Source organism: Homo sapiens, chromosome 3 (assembly GCF_000001405.40).
Source record: "Homo sapiens chromosome 3, GRCh38.p14 Primary Assembly".
NCBI classification, from domain to species: Eukaryota; Metazoa; Chordata; class Mammalia; order Primates; family Hominidae; genus Homo; species Homo sapiens.
Window position 1 is genome coordinate 50,886,890 of NC_000003.12, and position 18,994 is coordinate 50,905,883.

At 38.7% G+C, this 18,994-nt stretch overlaps 1 protein-coding gene across 22 annotated transcripts in view, besides 1 other annotated feature; it reads left to right on the forward strand.

The window, feature by feature from the left end:
• DOCK3 (dedicator of cytokinesis 3) overlaps positions 1-18,994 on the forward strand; it is a 709,272-nt gene that overhangs the window by 211,963 nt on the left and 478,315 nt on the right. For all 22 annotated transcript variants that reach the window (XM_005264914.4, NM_004947.5, XM_006713010.4 and 19 more), the window contains exon 4: positions 3,137-3,192. In XM_005264914.4, the coding sequence (XP_005264971.1) occupies positions 3,137-3,192 (56 nt within the window). The remainder of the gene's footprint in view (positions 1-3,136; positions 3,193-18,994) is intronic.
• Positions 3,992-4,541: an enhancer, noted in NCBI's record as "NANOG hESC enhancer chr3:50928312-50928861 (GRCh37/hg19 assembly coordinates)". NCBI's record gives its function as "activates a minimal SCP1, AML or CMV promoter by ChIP-STARR-seq in naive H9 embryonic stem cells {active_cell/tissue: H9 hESC(naive)}" and the evidence as "EXISTENCE:reporter gene assay evidence [ECO:0000049][PMID:30033119]".

An 18,994-nucleotide genomic window follows, 5' to 3' on the forward strand; every position in this document is an offset into this window, starting at 1 on the left:
AATGCCCACAAGAGAAAGCAGGAAAGATCCAAAATTGACACCCTAACATCACAATTAAAAGAACTAGAAAAGCAAGAGCAAACACATTCAAAAGCTAGCAGAAGGCAAGAAATAACCCAAATCAGAGCAGAACTGAAGGAAATAGAGACACAAAAAACCCTTCAAAAAATTAATGAATCCAGGAGCTGGTTTTTTGAAAAGATCAACAAAATTGATAGACTGCTAGCAAGACTAATAAAGAAGAAAAGAGAGAAGAATCAAATAGACGCAATAAAAAATGATAAAGGGGATATCACCACCGATCCCACAGAAATACAAACTACCATCAGAGAATACTACAAACACCTCTATGCAAATAAACTAGAAAATCTAGAAGAAATGGATAAATTTCTGGACACATACACCCTCCCAAGACTAAACCAGGAAGAAGTCGAATCCCTGAAGAGGCCAATAACAAGTTCTGAAATGGAGACAGTAATTAATAGCCTACCAACCAATAAAAGCCCAGGACCAGAAAGATTCACAGCCAAATTCTATCAGGGGTACAAAGAGGAGCTGGTACCATTCCTTCTACAAACTATTCCAAAAAACTGAAAAAGAGTGACTCCTCCCTAACTCATTTTATGAGGCCAGCATCATCCTGATACCAAAACCTGGCAGAGACACAACAAAAAGAGAAAATTTTAGGCCAATATACCTGATGAACATCGATGTGAAAATCCTCAGTAAAATACTGGCAAAACGAATCCAGCAGCACGTCAAAAAGCTTATCCACCATGATCAAGTCGGCTTCATCCCTGGGATGCAAGCCTGGTTCAACATACACAAATCAATAAACATAATCCATCACATAAACAGAACCAATGATAAAAACCACATGATTATCTCAATAGATGCAGAAAAGGTCTCCAATAAAATTCTACACCCCTTTAGGCTAAAAACACTCAATAAACTATACCGATTGAACGTATCTCAAAATAATAAGAGCTATTTATGAACCCACAGCCAATGTCATACTGAATGGGCAAAAACTGGAAGTATTCACTTTGAACACTGGCACAAGACAGGGATGCCCTCTCTCACCACTCCTGTTCAACATAGTGTTGGAAGTTCTGGCCAGGGCAATTCGGCAGGAGAAAGAAATAAAGGATATTCAATTAGGAAAAGAGGAAGTCAAATTGTCCCTGTTTGCAGATGACATGATTGTATATCTAGAAAACCCCATTGTGTCAGCCCAAAATCTCCTTAAGCTGATAAGCAACTTCAGCAAAGTCTCAGGATACAAAATCAATGTACAAAAATCACAAGCATTCTTATACACCAATAACAGACAAACAGAGAGCCAAATCATGAGTAAACTCCCATTCACAATTGCGTCAAAGAGAATAAAATACCTAGGAATCCAACTTACAAGGGATGTGAAGGACCTCTTCAAGGAGAACTACAAACCACTGCTCAAGGAAATAAGAGAGGATACAAATAAATGGAAAAACATTCCATGCTCATGGGTAGGAAGAATGCATATCGTGAAAATGGCCATACTGCCCAAGGTAATTTATAGATTCAATGCCATCCTCATCAAGCTACCAATGACTTTCTTCACAGAATTGGAAAAAACTACTTTAAAGTTCATATGGAACCAAAGAAGAGCCCGCATCGCCAAGTCAATCCTAAGCCGAAAGAACAAAGCTGGAGGCATCATGCTACCTGACTTCAAACTATACTACAAGGCTACAGTAACCAAAACAGCATGGTACTGGTACCAAAACAGAGATATAGATCAATGGAACAGAACAGAGCCCTCAGAAATAACTCCGCATATCTACAACTATCTGATCTTTGACAAACCTGAGAAAAACAAGCAATGGGGAAAGGATGCCCTATTTAATAAATGGTGCTGGGAAAACTGGCTAGCCATATGTAGAAAGCTGAAACTGGATCCCTTTCTTACACCTTATACAAAAATTAATTCAAGATGGATTAAAGATTAAAGACTTAAATCCTTTTTTTAAGTCTCTATATTCTCCCATATTAGGATTTTACGTTACTATATGCTGTCTTTTATTATGAGCCAAAATACAAAACTCATTACTGTAGTCTAATTGCTTATAGCCTTCATTTGGGTGATTATTGGTGGTAGTGTGGGCCAAAGAGTATAAAATATATTTAAGCCATGGGTGTGTGTGTGTGTGTGTGTGTGTGTGTGTGTGTGTGTGTGTGTGTTTAAGACAGGTTCTTGCTCTGTCATATAGGCTGGAGTATAGTGGTGCTATCATAGCTCACTGTAGCCCCAAACTTCTGGGCTCAAGTCATCCTCCCAAGTAGCTAGGACTACAGGTGTGCACCACCACACCTGGCTAACTTTCTAATTGTTTGTAGAGACAGGATCTTGCTATGTTGCCCAGACTAGTCATGGAGTCCTGGCCTCTAACAGTTCTCCCACTTTAGGCTCCTAAAGCACTGGGATTACAAGCATGAGCCGCCAAACCTGTAAGCCATTCATGTTTTATTTAAAGAGCATTTTATACATCAGGAGATGGGGGCGAAACATTGATTGGAAAACTGATGTGGTTTTTTTTTTTTTTTAAATACGCTACTTATTCTTTAGGAATTGAAATCAAATTATGGTAAACAACAAAGTAGAAACAGTTTTGGAAAGAGTAAAAGAAGACATATTTTAGAAGTTCTTGAATTGATTCACTCCTGTGAATATTAATGTTAGCTAGAGTCTGAGAATTGTTTTTCTAGCTCAGAGCTAGATAATCTGTAAGTTGTTGGTTAGATGATGATATTAGTTTTGGAGATACATGACAAGTTCTGTACACAATACTGTTTCTGGAGAGTGAATTGATGGACCATCTCTAATCTACAACTCTTTTAAAATTAAAATTTAAAGTTTTATTTTTGCAGTGCTAAAGATCACAGTTGTCTCCTGAGGATAGATTTTGATTGCATATGGCCGTGAAATTCCTACCTAATATACTTTGTACAGCTCTGCATACTTAATATGCAAAGTGGTTGCTGTAGCAGGAGATCTACTATGTTTCTGTGCTGAAATCTGATTGCTATTTTTGTATATATGAAATGTTAATCACAATTTTATTTTTTCTAACAGGAAATATTTTCTCTTTTACAGGGGATCTTTCCTGCAAATTACATTCACTTGAAAAAGGCAATTGTCAGTAATAGGGGGTGAGTAATTGGCCTTACTAAATTTATGTACAATTTTTATAGGCTACAGAGGAAGATTGTTTTTCCTTTTGGTTCATAGTATAAAATATACAATTGATATGTTTTCCTGGCAAAAATGTACATGCTTTATCATGTAATTTTGAGGGAATAATGTTTTCTTAAAATACAGACTTTAATCTGTTTTCTTGTATACGGAAGAAATGATGTTAGCTGTGAATTTTATAAAATCAGTTAGGCATGCAGTATGTTTTAAAAAATTATGTACTATTTTGAGCATAGTCATTCATAGAGTAGGAGTTAAAGATAAATATGTCATTTTGTTTTTACAAAGTGAAAGAGACTTTTAAAATTTTTTATTTGCAAGTTGAAATTGAAAAAGTTTAAAGGTATACCTTAACCATAAGAAGACAATATACAAAATGGTTTGATCACAAATTTTAAAAACAAAGCAATCTGCCTAAAAAGAGACAAGAAATAAATATATCAAAATGTTAACACTTGTTTTTGCATGTTGGGAATATGAATGAGTTTTTAAAAAATTCTTTGTCATGTTTAATAATAAGTATTATAGTTTCGATTTTATTTTTCAAAATTTATTATTTTAAAACATAAAATTTAGGTACTGTATAATTTGTAACCAAGGTAGCTTCCTAAAGTAGAAATACTATTCTTGACTGCAGGGTGAGTAAGCATCAGAGTAACCTTCTGGTCAGTTATGGTTCATTCAGGAAAATAGAAACATGAGCCACTTTATGAGGTAGAATTTAATGTGGGAAATTATTTACACACGTTTGAAGAGTGAAAGAACAAAAGAGGAAATACTGATGTAACCCATAGATTTTAACTGCATAAAGTGGCCTACACGTTAATAATGGTGGAGATACCGAAACCCAGGAACTCAGAAATTAGATCTTGAGATATTGGAGCTCAGAAATTTGAGGAGGGAATATCAAATAGCTACTGTTGGTATGTATAAAGAAGGTGGTAATGAGGCTGTTTTGGGGAATGCCAAAAGCAACTGGAGGCTGGAACCTATTTTCACTGTGAAAGAAATTGTTTACAGGAACAGCAGGAAACACACCTCTTCACCTTCTTTTCCCCAGTATCTTTCTAATGCTTCCAGCTGGCAAAGGAGACTGCAAAACACAGCTTGTGGATTGCAGCCTCATGATTAGTCCTTAGAAGAATAGATTTGGAGATGATAGTTATTATTAATTGTCTTGTATGCCTTCCAATATAAAATTTGTGTTGGGGAAATAGTAAGAATATAACTTAGAAGATTCTGATATGAATCCACAACTAGCATACTTCTTATTCTTCCCCTTCTCCTTTTACAAAACATGTAAAGCCATAAGGACATAAAAAAGAAAAACAACTTATACATCTCATGTTTATGAACCTTTGCAACAAATAATCTGCCATCTCAAGTTTATAAGTAAGGACTATCAAAAGTATCAAGCCTGGATAGAAGTGTGGGAAAAGGAAAAGAGAGTATTTCGACTTGGGATTAGCAAAGTATATATTTTGGAAAGTGCTAAAAACATTTTCTGAATGTGAATGGCTTATTATAAATTCAGAAGTAATATCCTTTATTTATCAGTAATGAGGCTGATCAGAGCTGAAAGTGGGCAGAAGCTGTGAGGGACCAAGGTGAGAAAAGGAGATATAGATGAAATCTAGGGATGCAGAAATAGAGTGCCTTAGAAAATACTAGCAAAGTCATACACTTTCTGATGATGAGGAACTTATCCTAAGTTTATGAGTCATATGTCCCATTTATAATAGTTATAAAGGACATTGGGGAGCACTTTGCTAGCAGAAGAATCCCTACCTGGATTCAGTTTGCCTCAGGAAAGTAGAAGTGATGTGGCTGTACATAAAATTACACACAGAGCAGCCATATTTGCTGGAAGTGGGATATAAATCTTAGAAAGCTATTTGGAATTGACCTCCATATCCAAATGTCCAATAAGTTGATGGTCCACAATAAGAATTCTAAAATCTGGAGAAAATATTAAAAAACAATTGTCTGCAGGCACTGGAGAACAATTGGTTGGGCAAGATCTTGAGAGGCTATGATCTTTGAAGGAAGGGATGCACACAAGGAGAGCTTCATGTTTACTTTGGCCTTTTTCTCCAGATAATTTTTCATTTACTGTGTTGTAGTGGAATAGAGCCCAACCAGAAAATAGTAGTCTTTCATGACATCAGCAATTTGGCAGAATAAGAAGTTTCAGCTCTCATCCCCCTACAGAAACACAGATTTAACAATGGTATACCAAGAAAAATACCTTTATAAGAGGTCCAGTATCCAGTGAAGAAGTCGCAGTACTCCAGAGGAGCACAAAACAGAGTAGACACGTTGAAATGGCTAAGAAGAGCAATTTCACTCTTACCTTTGTCAGTCCCTTCTCCCAGCTGGTTAAGAGAGAATTTGTCCCAGATTGTGACTCTTCCAGTGGGGCAAAGAAAAAGAGGACTGTACATCAAACATCTCTAGCATTTGTGGGTGCTGCTTGAATGACCTCTTTCTATCCCACCTCACCCAGAGTGCTGGAGTAGCCAGCATAATTTAAACATGCAGGGGAAGCTAAGAACAAAGAAAAGGAGTGAGAGGCTCACTGCAGCTAGCTTGCCTCTGCAAGATCGGGAAAAGTGCACAACCCTAAGATTTCTGCAGGAGGGAGGGTGAGGAGTGGGAGCAATATCCCATCATTTCAATGCATCACTCTAGAAAAAAGTGGAGGGCAGGCAACTGTGGCCAGTAGAGCTCTGGAGGGTTGGGAGAAGATGCATATCTGTGAGTCTTCTCCCTCAGAAGGGAAAGGAAGAATGAAGCATACATCCTGGAATTTTAGAGTACTGCCACAGGGAAAAGAGATGGGCAGCTTACTGTGGCCATCATTTCTTTGAGAGATTGGGAGAAGGCACAGAACCCTGAGACTCTCAGGCTGGATGGAGGAATGAAGTGCGTACATTCATAGAAAAGGTTTGACAGGTTCCCAGAATCTGAGTTGGGCTGATTGGTGAGGGTCTTTGTCTATTGAAGTCAGTCCATAAAGACCGGGAGAAGTGGTTGTTTCTTCAAATGTGCAGGCCCCAAAGCAAAGCTGCAAGGAAGATGAAGGATCGGGAATACATGACACAATCAAAGGAACAAAATAAATATTCAATAACAGACCCTAAAGAAAAGGAGTTCTATGAATTGCCCTCAAGACAACTCAAAATAATAGTCTTAAAGATTACTTAACTAAATGAGTTACAAGAGAATACAGGCAACTAAATTAAATGAGGAAAATGAAAAGTGAAAATAATGAGAATACCAACAAAGAGATAGAAACCATAAGAAAGCAAAGAATCAAACATAAATTCTGGAGCTGAAGAATACAATAAGTAATATGAAAATTGTATGGAGAACTTCAACAGCATTCTTGATCAAATAGAGGAGCGAGTCAACTTGAAGATAGGTCATTTGAAATGATCCATTCAGAGAATCAGAAAGGAAAAAGAGGGAAGAAATCCTAAGAAACTAATGGGACACCATCAAGCAAACCAATATGCTCAATATGGAATTATCACACGTGGGGCAGGAGAGAGAGGAAGAGGGAGAGCAAGGAAAAGAAAGGAGCAGGAAACTTATTTAAAGAAACAATGGCTGAAAACTTCCCAAATCTGGGGAGGGAAATGAACATTGATCCTTGAAGTCCAAACAACCCCTTTAAGATGTTCATGTCCTTTGTAGGGACATGGATGAAGCTGGAAGCCATCATTCTCAGCACAGTATCACAAGGACAAAAAACCAAACACCGTGTGTTCTCATTCATAGGTGGGAACTGAATAATGAGAACATTGGGACACAGGAAGGGGAACATCACACACCGGGGCCTGTCGTTAGGTGAGGGGAGGGGGGAGGGGGGAGGGATAGCATTAGGAGATATACCTAATGTAAATGACGAGTTAATGGGTGCAGCACACCAACATGGCACTTGTATACCTATGTAACAAACCGGCACGTTGTGCACATGTACCCTAGAACTTAAAGTATAATTAAAAAAACAGGAATCCAAAGAAATCCATGCTGAGATGCATTGTGGTCAAATTGTCAAAAGTCAAAGAGAATTTTGAAAGCAGCAAGATGAAAAGGACTTGTCTTATATAAGAGAGCCTCCATAAATCTGCTATCAGCAGATTTCTCCGCCAAAACCTTGTAGGCCAGAAGGGAGCAGGATGATATATTTAAAATACTGAAGGAAACAAAAAAAACCCTGTCAACCAGTACCCAGCAAAACTGTCCTTCAGAAATGAAGTAGAGAGAAAGGCTTTCCCAGATAAACAAAAGCTGAGGGAGTTCATCACCAGTAGATTTGCCTTATAAAAAATGCTGAAAGGAGTTCTTTAAGTTGAAACAAAATGATGCTATACAGCAACATGAAAGCATACAAAAGTATACAATTCACAGGCAAAGGCAAATATATACACATATACAGAATATTTGAATACTGTAAAGATAGTATATAAATAATTTTAGTATAAGAGTTAAAAGACAAGTATTAAGAATAACTATAACTACAAAAACTTGTTAGTAGATGCACAATATAAAATATGTAAATTGTGTCATCAACAATAAAACATTTGTTGAGGGAATTAAAATTGTCAGGTTTTTGTTTTTGATTTTTTTTTACAGCATGCAAATCTTTTAAGTTTAGCAAATCTTAATTTTAAGGGAACTATGAATAGTGATTGGTTCTGTTTACATAGTTGGTTAATTAAGCTTTATTCTTATATATTCTTCCCATCTGTTAGGTCACACAGTTCTTGAGCGTTAAAACAATGTTCTGTTGAATTCTAGGTCTCCCAGCTGTATTTGACTATTTGGTTACAATTCCAAATTGTTATTCTGACTGCTAAGTGATTTACTTTCAAAGTATTGCTCCAGTAATGTTAAAGGTGTAATTTCTACCACTTCTTCTTCAATTAAAGGACATTTTAATGGCTTTTTTTCTTTATCAATTGGGATAAAAGCCTCAAACAAAAAACATCAGAAATGAATCACATAAAAGAGTAATCTTAGTTTTTATTTCAGCATCCATATGAAATGCTTAGTTACCTTATTTTATCCCCGCTTTTTTTTTTTTTTTTTTTAGAACTTGAAAAACTCTTTTTTTCCTTCAACTTTAATTTTAACTTCCAGGGTACATGTCCATCACGTGCAGTTTTGTTATACAGGTAAACGTGTGCCATGGTGGTTTGCTGCACAGATCACCCATCACCTAGGTATTAAGCCCAGCATTCATTAGCTGTTCTTCTTCTTCTTTTTTTTTTAAGGAAATTATATTTATTCAGGAATGAGCATTGCAATGGCAGTACATAGGCCGTCATAAACTGTGTACCCATGTGCATGCTTAGGGAGGTAAGGGGATACAAAGATTTCTTTTTAAAATTTTTTTATTATACTTTAAGTTCTGGGATACATGTGCAGAATGTGCAGGTTTGCTACATAGGTATACATGTGCCATGGTGGTTTGCTGCACCCATCAACCCGTCATCAACATTAGGTATTTCTCCTAATGCTATCCCTCCCCTAGCTCCCCAACCCCCAACAGGCCCCAGTGTGTGATGCTTCCCTCTTCATGTCCATGTGTTCTCACTGTTTAACTCCCACTTATGAGTGAGAACATGTGGTGTTTGGTCTTCTGTTCCTGTGTTAGTTTGCTGAGAATTATGGTTTCCAGCTTCATCTATGTTGCTGCAAAGGACATGAACTCATCCCTTTTTTATGGCTGCATAGTATTCCGTGGTGTGTATGTGCCACATTTTCTTTATCAAGTCTATCATTGAAGGGCATTTGGGTTGGTTGGTTCCAAGTTTTTGCTATTCTGAACAGTGCTGCAATAAACATACGCATGCATGTGTCTCTATAGTAGAATGATTTATAATCCTTTGTGTATATACCCAGTAATGGGATTGCTGGGTCAATTTGTATTTCTGGTTCTAGATCCTTGAGGAATCGCCACACTGTCTTCCACAATGGTTGAACTAATTTACACTCCCACGAACAGTGTAAAAGTGTTCCTATTTCTCCACATCCTCTCCAGCTAATGATTGCCATTCTAACTGGCGTGAGATGGTATTTCATTGTGGTTTTGATTTGTATTTCTCTAATGATCAGTGATGATGAGCTTTTTCTCATATGTTTATTGGCCACATAAATGTCTTCTTTTGAGAAGTGTCTGTTCATCTCCTTTGCCCACTTTTTGATGGAGTTGTTTTTTTCTTATAAATTTGTTTAATCTTTGTAGATTCAGGATATTGTCAGATGGAGAGATTGCAAACATTTTCTCCCATTCTGTAGGTTGCCTGTTCACTCTGATGATAGTTTCTTTTGCTCTGCAGAAGCTTTTTAGTTTAATTAGACACCATTTGTCATTTTTGGCTTTTGTTGCCATTGCTTTTGGTGTTTTAGTCATGAAATCTTTGCCCATGCCTCTGCCCTGAATGGTATTGCCTAGGTTTTTTTCTAGGGTTTTTATGGTTTTAGGTCTTACGTTTAAGTCTTTAATCCATCTTGAGTTAATATTTGTATAAGATTCTGTAAGGAAGGGGTCCAGTTTCAGTTTTCTGCATATGGCTAGCCAGTTTTACCAACACCATTTATTAAGTAGGCAATCATTTCCCCATTGCTTGTTTTTGTCAGGTTTGTCAAAGATCAGATGGTTGTAGACATGTAGTGTTATTTCTGAGGCCTCTGTTCTGTTCCATTGGTCTGTATATCTGTTTTGTACTAGTACCTTGTGTTTTGGTTAATGTAGCCTTGTAGTATAGTTTGAAGTCAGGTAGTGTGATGCCTCCAGCTTTCTTTTTGCTTAGGATTGTTTTGGCTATACGGGCTCTTTTGTGGTTCCATAGGAAATTTAAAGTAGTTTTTTTCTAAACTGTGAAGAAAGTTAGTGGTAGCTTGATGGGGATGACACTGACTCTATAAATTACTTTGGGCAGTATGGCCATTTTCATGATACTGATTCTTCCTATCCATGAGCATGGAATATTTTTCCATTTGTTTGTGTCCTCTCTGATTTCCTTGAGCAGTTGTTTGTAGTTCCACTTGAAGAGGTCCTTCACATCCCTTGTAAGTTGTATTCCTAGGTATTTTATTCTCTTTGTAGCAATTTTGAATGGGAGTTCACTCATGATTTGGCTATTTGTCTATTATTGGTGTATAAGAATGCTTGTGATTTTTGCACATTGATTATGTATCCTGAGAGTTTGCTGAAGTTGCTTATCAGCCTAAGGAGATTTTGGGCTGACACGATGGGGTTTTCTAAATATACAATCATGTCATCTGCAAACAGAGACAATTTGATTTTCTCTCTTCCTATTTGAATACCCTTTATTTCTTTCTCTTGCCTGATTGCCCTTGCCAGAACTTCCAACACTATGTTAAATAGGCATGGTGAGAGAGGGCATCCTTGTCTTGTGCCAGTTTTCAAAAGGAATGCTTCCAGCTTTTGCCCATTGAGTATGACATTGGCTGTGGGTTCATAAATAGCTCTTATTATTTTGAGATACGTTCAATCGGTATAGTTTATTGAGTGTTTTTAGCCTAAAGGGGTGTAGAATTTTATTGGAGACCTTTTCTGCATCTATTGAGATAATCATGTGGTTTTTATCATTGGTTCTGTTTATGTGATGGATTATGTTTATTGATTTGTGTATGTTGAACCAGGCTTGCATCCCAGGGATGAAGCCGACTTGATCATGGTGGATAAGCTTTTTGACGTGCTGCTGGATTCGTTTTGCCAGTATTTTACTGAGGATTTTCACATCGATGTTCATCAGGTATATTGGCCTAAAATTTTCTCTTTTTGTTGTGTCTCTGCCAGGTTTTGGTATCAGGATGATGCTGGCCTCATAAAATGAGTTAGGGAGGAGTCACTCTTTTTCAGTTTTTTGGAATAGTTTGTAGAAGGAATGGTACCAGCTCCTCTTTGTACCCCTGATAGAATTTGGCTGTGAATCTTTCTGGTCCTGGGCTTTTATTGGTTGGTAGGCTATTAATTACTGTCTCCATTTCAGAACTTGTTATTGGCCTCTTCAGGGATTCGACTTCTTCCTGGTTTAGTCTTGGGAGGGTGTATGTGTCCAGAAATTTATCCATTTCTTCTAGATTTTCTAGTTTATTTGCATAGAGGTGTTCATAGTATTCTCTGATGGTAGTTTGTATTTCTGTGGGATCAGTGGGGATATCCCCTTTATCACACTTTATTGGGTCTATTGGATTCTTCTCTCTTTTCTTCTTTATTGGTCTGGCTAGCGGTCTACCTATTTTGTTAATCTTTTCAAAAAACCAGTTCCTGGATTTATTGATTTTTTGAAGGGTTTTTTGTGTCTCTATTTCCTTCAGTTCTGCTCTGATCTTAGTTATTTCTTGTCTTCTGCTAGCTTTTGAATTTGTTTGCTCTTGCTTCTGCAGTTCTTTTAATTTTGATGTTAGGGTGTCAATTTTAGATCTTTCCTGCTTTCTCTATTGGGCATTTAGTGCTATAAATTTCCCCCTACACACTGCTTTAAATGTGTCCCAGAGATTCTGGTATGTTGTGTCTTCGTTCTTTTTGGTTTCAAAGAACATCTTTATTTCTGCCTTCATTTTGTTACTTACCTAGTAGTCATTCAGGAGCAGGTTGTTCAGTTTCCATGTAGTTGTGCAGTTTTGATTATGAGTTTCTCAATCCTGAGTTCCAATTTGATTGCACTGTGGTCTGAGAGACTGTTATGATTTCCGTTCTTTTGCATTTGCTGAGGAGTGTTTTACTTCCAATTATGTGATCGATTTCAGAATAAGTGCGATGTAGTGCTGAGAGGAATGTATATTCTGTTGATTTGGGATGAAGAGTTCTGTAGATGTCTGTTAGGTCCTCTTGGTCCAGAGCTGAGTTGAAGTCCTGAATATCCTTGTTAATTTTCTGTCTCGTTGATCTGTCTAATATTGGCAGTGGGGTGTTAAAATCTCCCACTATTATTGTGTGGGAGTCTAAGTCTCTTTGTAGGTCTCTAAGAACTTGCTTTATGAATCTGGGTGCTCCTGTATTGGGTGCATATATATTTAGGATAGTTAGCTCTTCTTGTTGTATTGATCACTTTACCATTATGTAATGCCCTTCTTTGTCTTTTTTGATCTTTCTTGGTTTAAAGTCTTTTTTATCAGAGACTAGGACTGCAACCTCTGTTTTTTTCACTTTCCATTTGCTTGGTAAATATTCCTCCATCCCTTTGTTTTGAGCCTATGTGTGTCTTTGCACCTGAGATGGGTCTCCTAAATACAGCACAGTGATGGGTCTTGACTCTTTGTCCAGTTTGCCAGTCTGTGTCTTTTAATTGGGGCATTTAGCCCATTGACATTTAAAGTGAATATTGTTATGTGTGAATTTGATCCTGTCATTATGATGCTAGCTGGTTATTTTGCCCGTTACTTGATGCAGTTTCTTCATAGTGTTGATGGTCTTTACAATTTGGTATGTTCTTGCAGTGGGTGGTACCAGTTTTTCCTTTCCATATTTAGTGCTTCCTTCAGGAGCTCTTGTAAGGCAGGCCTGGTGGTGACAAAATCTCTCAGTAGTTGCTTGTCTGTAAAGGATTTTATTTCTCTTTCACTTGTGAAGCTTAGTTTGGCTGGATGTGAAAATCTGGGTTGAAAATTCTTTTCTTTAAGAATGTTGAATATTGCTCCTCTACCCCCCACTTTCTTCTGGCTTGTAGGGTTTCTGCTGTTAGTCTGATAGGCTTCCCTTTGTGGGTAACCCGACCTTTCTCTCTGGCTGCTCTTAACATTTTTTCCTTCATTTCAACCTTGGTAAATCTGATAATTATGTGTCTTGGGGTTACTCTTCTTGAGGAGTATCTTTGTGGTGGTCTCTGTATTTCCTGAATTTGAATGTTGGCCTGTCTTGCTAGGTTGGGGAAAAGTTCTCCTGGATAATATCCTGAAGAGTGTTTTACAACTTGGTTCCATTCTCACCGTCACTTTCAGGTACACCAATCAAATGTAGATTTGGTCTTTTCACATAGTCCCATATTTCTTGGAGGCGTTTTTCGTTTCTTTTCATTCTTTATTCTCTTATCTTGTCTTCTCGCTTTATTTCATTAAGTTGATCTTCAATCTCTGATATCCTTGCTTCCACTTGATCGGTTCGGCTATTGATACTTGTGTATGCTTCACGAAGTTCTTGTGCTGTGTTTTTTAGTTCCATGAGGTCATTTATATTCTTCTTTAAACCAGTTATGCTGGTTAGCAATTCTTCTAACCTTTTTTCAAGGTTCTTAGCTTCGTTGCATTGGGTTAGAACATGCTCCTTTAGCTTGGAGGAGTTTGTTATTACCCACCTTCTAAAGCCTACTTCTGTCAATTTGTCAAACTCATTCTCCATCCAGTTTTGTTCCCTTGGCGAGGAGTTGTGATCCTTTGGAGGAGAAGAGGCATTCTGATTTTTGGAATTTTCAGCCTTTTTATGCTGGTTTTTCCTCATCTTCGTGGATTTATCTACCTTTGGTCTTTGATGTTGGTGACCTTCAGATGGGGTTTCTGTATGGACCTCCTTTTTGTTAATGTTGATCTTATTCCTTTCTGTTTGTTAGTTTTCCTTCCAATGGTCAGGCTCCTCTGCTGCAGGTCTGCTGGAGTTTGCAGGAGGTCCACTTCAGACCCTGCCCCTGTTTGCCTGGGTATCACCAGCGGAGGCTGCAGAACAGCAAAGATTGCTGCCCTCTGGAAGCTTTGTCCCAGAGGGGCACCCACCAGATGCCAGCCAGAGCTCTCCTGTATGAGGTGTCTGTCGCTCCCTGTTGGGAGGTGTCTCCTAGTCAGGAGGCACGGGGGTCAGGGACCCACCTGAGGAAGCAGTCTATCCCTTAGCAGAGCTTGAGCAATGTGCTGGGAGATTCGCTCCTCTCTTCAGAACAGACAGGCTGGAACATTTAAGTCTGCTGATGCAGTGCCTGCTGCCGCCCCTTCCCCTAGGTGCTCTGTCCCAGGGAGATGGGAGTTTGATGTATAAGCCCCTGAATGGGGCTGCTGCCTTTCTTTTAGAGATGCCCTGCCCAGAGGAGGAATCCTGTGAGGCAGTCTGGCTACAGTGGCTTTGCTGAACTACAGTGGGCTCCACCCAGTTTGAACTTCCTGATGGCTTTGTTTACACTGTGAGGGGAAAACTGCCTACTCAAGCCTTAGTAATGGCAGACACCCCTCCCCCCACCAAGCTCGAGTGTCCCAGGTCAACTTCAGACTGGTGTGCTGGCAGCAAGAATTTCAAGACAGTGGATCTTAGCTTGCTTGGCTCCATGGGAATGAGATCCACTGAGCTAGACCACTTGGCTCTCTGGCTTCACCCCCTTTCTAGGGTAGTGAATGGTTCTGCTTGCTGGCGTTCCAGGCACCACCGGAGTGTGAAAAAATATGCTGCAGTTAGCTCAGTGTCTGCCCAAATGGTCACCTAGTTTTGTGCTTGAAACCCAGGTCCCTGGTGGTGTAGGCACCCGAGGGAATCTCCTGGTGTGTGGATTGCGAGGACCATGGGAAAAGCATAGTAACTGGGCTGGAGTGCACTGTTCCTCAAGGCACAGTCCCTCATGGCTACCCTTGGCTAGGGGAGGGAATTCCCTGACCCTCTTGCTCTTGCTGGGTGAGGCGACACCCTACCCTGCTTCAGCTCTCCCTCTGTGGGTTGCACCCACTGTCTAACCAGTCCCAATGAGATGAACCGTGTACCTCACTTGGAAATGTTGAAATCACCCACCTTATGCATTGATGTCGCTGGGAGCTGCAGACCGGAGCTGTTCCTATTCGGCCATCTTGCCATAAAGAAAGAAAGCAGCTATTCTTCTTGATTCTCTCTCTCCCACCACCCACCTGACAGGCCCCAGTATGTGTTGTTGGCTCCTTGAATGTCTCCTTTTGGGAAATGTCTGTTCATGTCATTTGCCCGCTTTTTAGTGTGGTTGTTTGTTTTTTTCTTGTAAATTTGTTTAAGTTCCTTGTAGATTCTGTCTCCCATTCTGTAGGCTGTCTGTTCACTCTGATGATGTTTCTTTTGCTGTGCTGAAGCTCTTTAGTTTAATTAGATCCCATCTGTCAGTTTTTGCTTTTGTCGCAATTGCTTTTGGCATTTTTGTCATGAAATCTTTGCCTGTGCCTATGTCCTGAATAATATTGCCTAGGTTTTCTTCTAGGGTTTTTATAGTGTTGGGTTTTGCATTTAAGTCTTTAATCCATCTTGAGTTAATTTTTATGTAAGATGTAAGGGTCCAGTTTCAATTTTCTGCATATGGCTAGCCGGTTCTCCCAGCACCATTTATTAAATAGGGAATCCTTTCCCCGTTGCTTGTTTTTGTCAGGTTTGTCAAAGATCAGATGGCTGTAGAAGTTCAGTCTTATTTTTGAATTCTCTGTTCTGTTCCATTGGTCTGTGTGTCTGTTTTTGTACCAGTACCATGCTGTTTTGGTTACTTGAGCCTTGTAGTATAATTTGAAGTTGGATAGTGATGCCTGCAGCCTTGTTCTTTTTCCTTAGGATTCTCTTGGCTATTTGGGCTCTTTTTGTTTCATAGGAATTTTAAAATAGCTTCTTCTAATTCTGTGAAGAATGTCAATGATAGGTTTATGGGAATAGAACTGAATCTATAAATTACTTTGGGCAGTATGGCCATTTTCACAATATTGATTCTTCCTATCCATGAGCGTGGCATATTGTTCCATTTGTGTTCTCTCTGATTTCCTTAAGCAGCGGTTTGTAGTTCTCCCTGAAGAGGTCCTACACCTGTCTGGTTAGTGATATTTCTAGATATTTTATTCTCTTTGTAGCAGTTGTGAATGAGAGTTCATTCATGATTTGGCCCTTTGCTTGCCTGTTGTTGGTGTATAGGAATGCTAGTGATTTTTGCACTATTGACTTTATCCTGAGACTTTGCCGATGTGGCCTATCAGCTTAAGAAGCTTTTGGGTTGAGATGATGGGATTTTCTAGATATGGGATCACGTTATCTGCAAACAAAGTTAATTTGACTTCCTCTCTTCCTGTTTGAATACTTTATTTCTCTTGCCTGACTGCCCTGACCAGAACTTCCAATGCTGTGTTGAATAGGAGTGGTGAGAGAGGGAATCCTCTTCTTGTCCTAGTTTTCACAGGTAATGCTTCCAGCTTTTGCCTTTTCAATATGATATTGGTTATGGGTTTGTCCTATGTGGCTCTTATTATTTTGAGTTATAGTCCTTCAATACCTAGTTTATTGAGAGTTTTTAACATGAAGGGATGTTGAATTTTATTGAAGGCCTTTTCTGCATCTATTGAGATAATCATGTTGTTTTTGTCTTTAGTTCTGTTTATGTGCTTAATTACATTTATTGATTTGCATATGTTTAACCAGCCTTGCATCCCAAGGATGAAGCTGACTTGATCATAGTGGATAAGCTTTTGATGATCTGCTGGATTCAATTTGCCAGTATTTTGTTGAGGATTTTTGCATCAATGTTCATCAGGTATATTGGCCTCAAGTTTTCTGTTTTTGTTGTATCTCTGCCAGATTTTGGTATCAAAATATTGCTGGCCTCATAGAATGAATTAGATAGAAGTCCCTCCTTTTAATTGGTTTGAAGTAGTTTTAGTAGAAATGGTACCAGCTCTTTTTTTTTATTTAAATGTGTATTTTTTTTTATACTTTAAGTTCTAGGGTACATGTGCACCACGTGCAGGTTTGATACATATTTATATATGTGCCGTGTTGGTGTGCTGCACCCATTAACTTGTCATTTACATTAGGTATATCTCCTAATGATATCTCTCCCCACTCCCCCCACCCCACAACAGGCCCCAGTGTGTGATGTTCCCCTTCCTGTGTCCAAGTGTTCTCATTGTTCAGTTCCCACCTATAAGTGAGAACATGTGGTGTTTGGTTTTTTGTCCTTACAATAGTTTGCTGAGAATGATGGTTTCTAGCTTCATCCATGTCCCTACAAAACATGAACTCATCCTTTCTTATGGCTGCATAGTATTCCATGGTGTATATGTGCCACATTTTCTTAATCCAGTCTATCATTGATGGACATTTGCGTTGGTTCCAAGTCTTTGCTATTGTGAATAGTGCCACATTAAACATACGTGTGCATGTGTCTTTATAGTAGCATGATTTATAATCCTTTGGGTATATACCCAGTAATGGGATGGCTGGGTCAGATGGTATTTCTAGTTCTAGATCCTTGAGGAATCGCTACGCTGTCTTCCATAATGGTTGAACTAGTTTACAGTCCCACCAACAGTGTAAGAGTGTTCCTATTTCTCCACATCCTCTCCAGCACCTGTTGTTTCCTGAGTTTTTAATGATCGCCATTCTAACTGGTGTGAGATAGTATCTCATTGTGGTTTTGATTTGCATTTCTCTGATGACCAGTGACAACGAATATTTTTTCATGTGTCTGTTGGCTGCATAAATATCTTCTTTTGAGAAGTGTCTGTTCATATCCTTTGCCCACTTTGTGATGGGGTGGTTTTATTCTTGTAAATTTGTAGATTCTTTTTAAGTTTAAGTTCTTTGTAGATTCTGGATATTAGCCCATTGTCAGATGAGTAGATTGCAAAAATTTTTTCCCATTCTGTAGGTTGCCTGTTCACTCTGATGGTAGTTTCTTTTGCTGTGCAGAAGCTCTTTAGTTTAATTAGATCCCATTTGTCTATTTTTGCTTTTGTTGCCATTGCTTTTGGAAGTCCTTGCACATGCCTATGTCCTAAATGGTATTGCCCAGGTTTTCTTCTAGGGTTTTTATGGTTTTAGGTCTAACATTTAAGTCTTTAATCCATCTTGAATTAATTTTTGTATAAGGTGTAAGAAAGGGATCCAGTTTCAGCTTTCTACATATGGCTAGCCAGTTTTCCCAGAACCGTTTGTTAAATAGGGAATCCTTTCCCCATTGCTTGTTTTTCTCAGCTTTGTCAAAGATCAGATGGTTGTAGATGTGTGGTATTATTTCTGAGGGCTCTGTTCTGTTCCATTGGTCTATATCTCTGTTTTTGTACCAGTACCATGCTGTTTTGGTTACTGCAGCCTTGTAGTATAGTTTGAAGTCAGGTAGTGTGATGCCTCCAGCTTTGTTCTTTTGGCTTAGGATTGTCTTGGCAATGTGGGCCCTTTTTTGGTTCCATATGAACTTTAAAGTAGTTTTTTCCAATTCTGTGAACAAAGTCATTGGTAGCTTGATGGGGACAGCATTGAATCTATAAATTACCTTGGGCAGTATGGCCATTTTCACGATATTGCTTCTTCCTATCCATGAGCATGGAATGTTCTTCCATTTGTTTGTGTCCTTTTTTATGTCGTTGAGCAGTGGTTTGTAGTTCTCCTTGAAGAGGTCCTTCACATCCCTTGTAAGTTGTATTCCTAGGTATTTTATTCTCTTTGAAGCAATTGTGAATGGGAGTTCACTCATGATTTGGCTCTCTGTTTGTCTGTTATTGGTGTAGAGGAATGCTTGTGATTTTTGCACATTGATTTTGTATCCTGAGACTTTGCTGAAGTTGCTTATCAGCTTAAGGAGACTTTGGGCTGAGACAATGGGGTTTTCTAAATATACAATCATGTCATCTGCAAACAGGGACAATTTGACTTCCTCTTTTCCTAATTGAATGCCCTTTATTTCTTTCTCCTGCCTGATTGCCCTGGCCAGAACTTCCAACACTATGTTGAATAGGAGTGGTGAGACAGGGCATCCCTGTCTTGTGCCAGTGTTCAAAGTGAATACTTCCAGTTTTTGCCCATTCAGTATG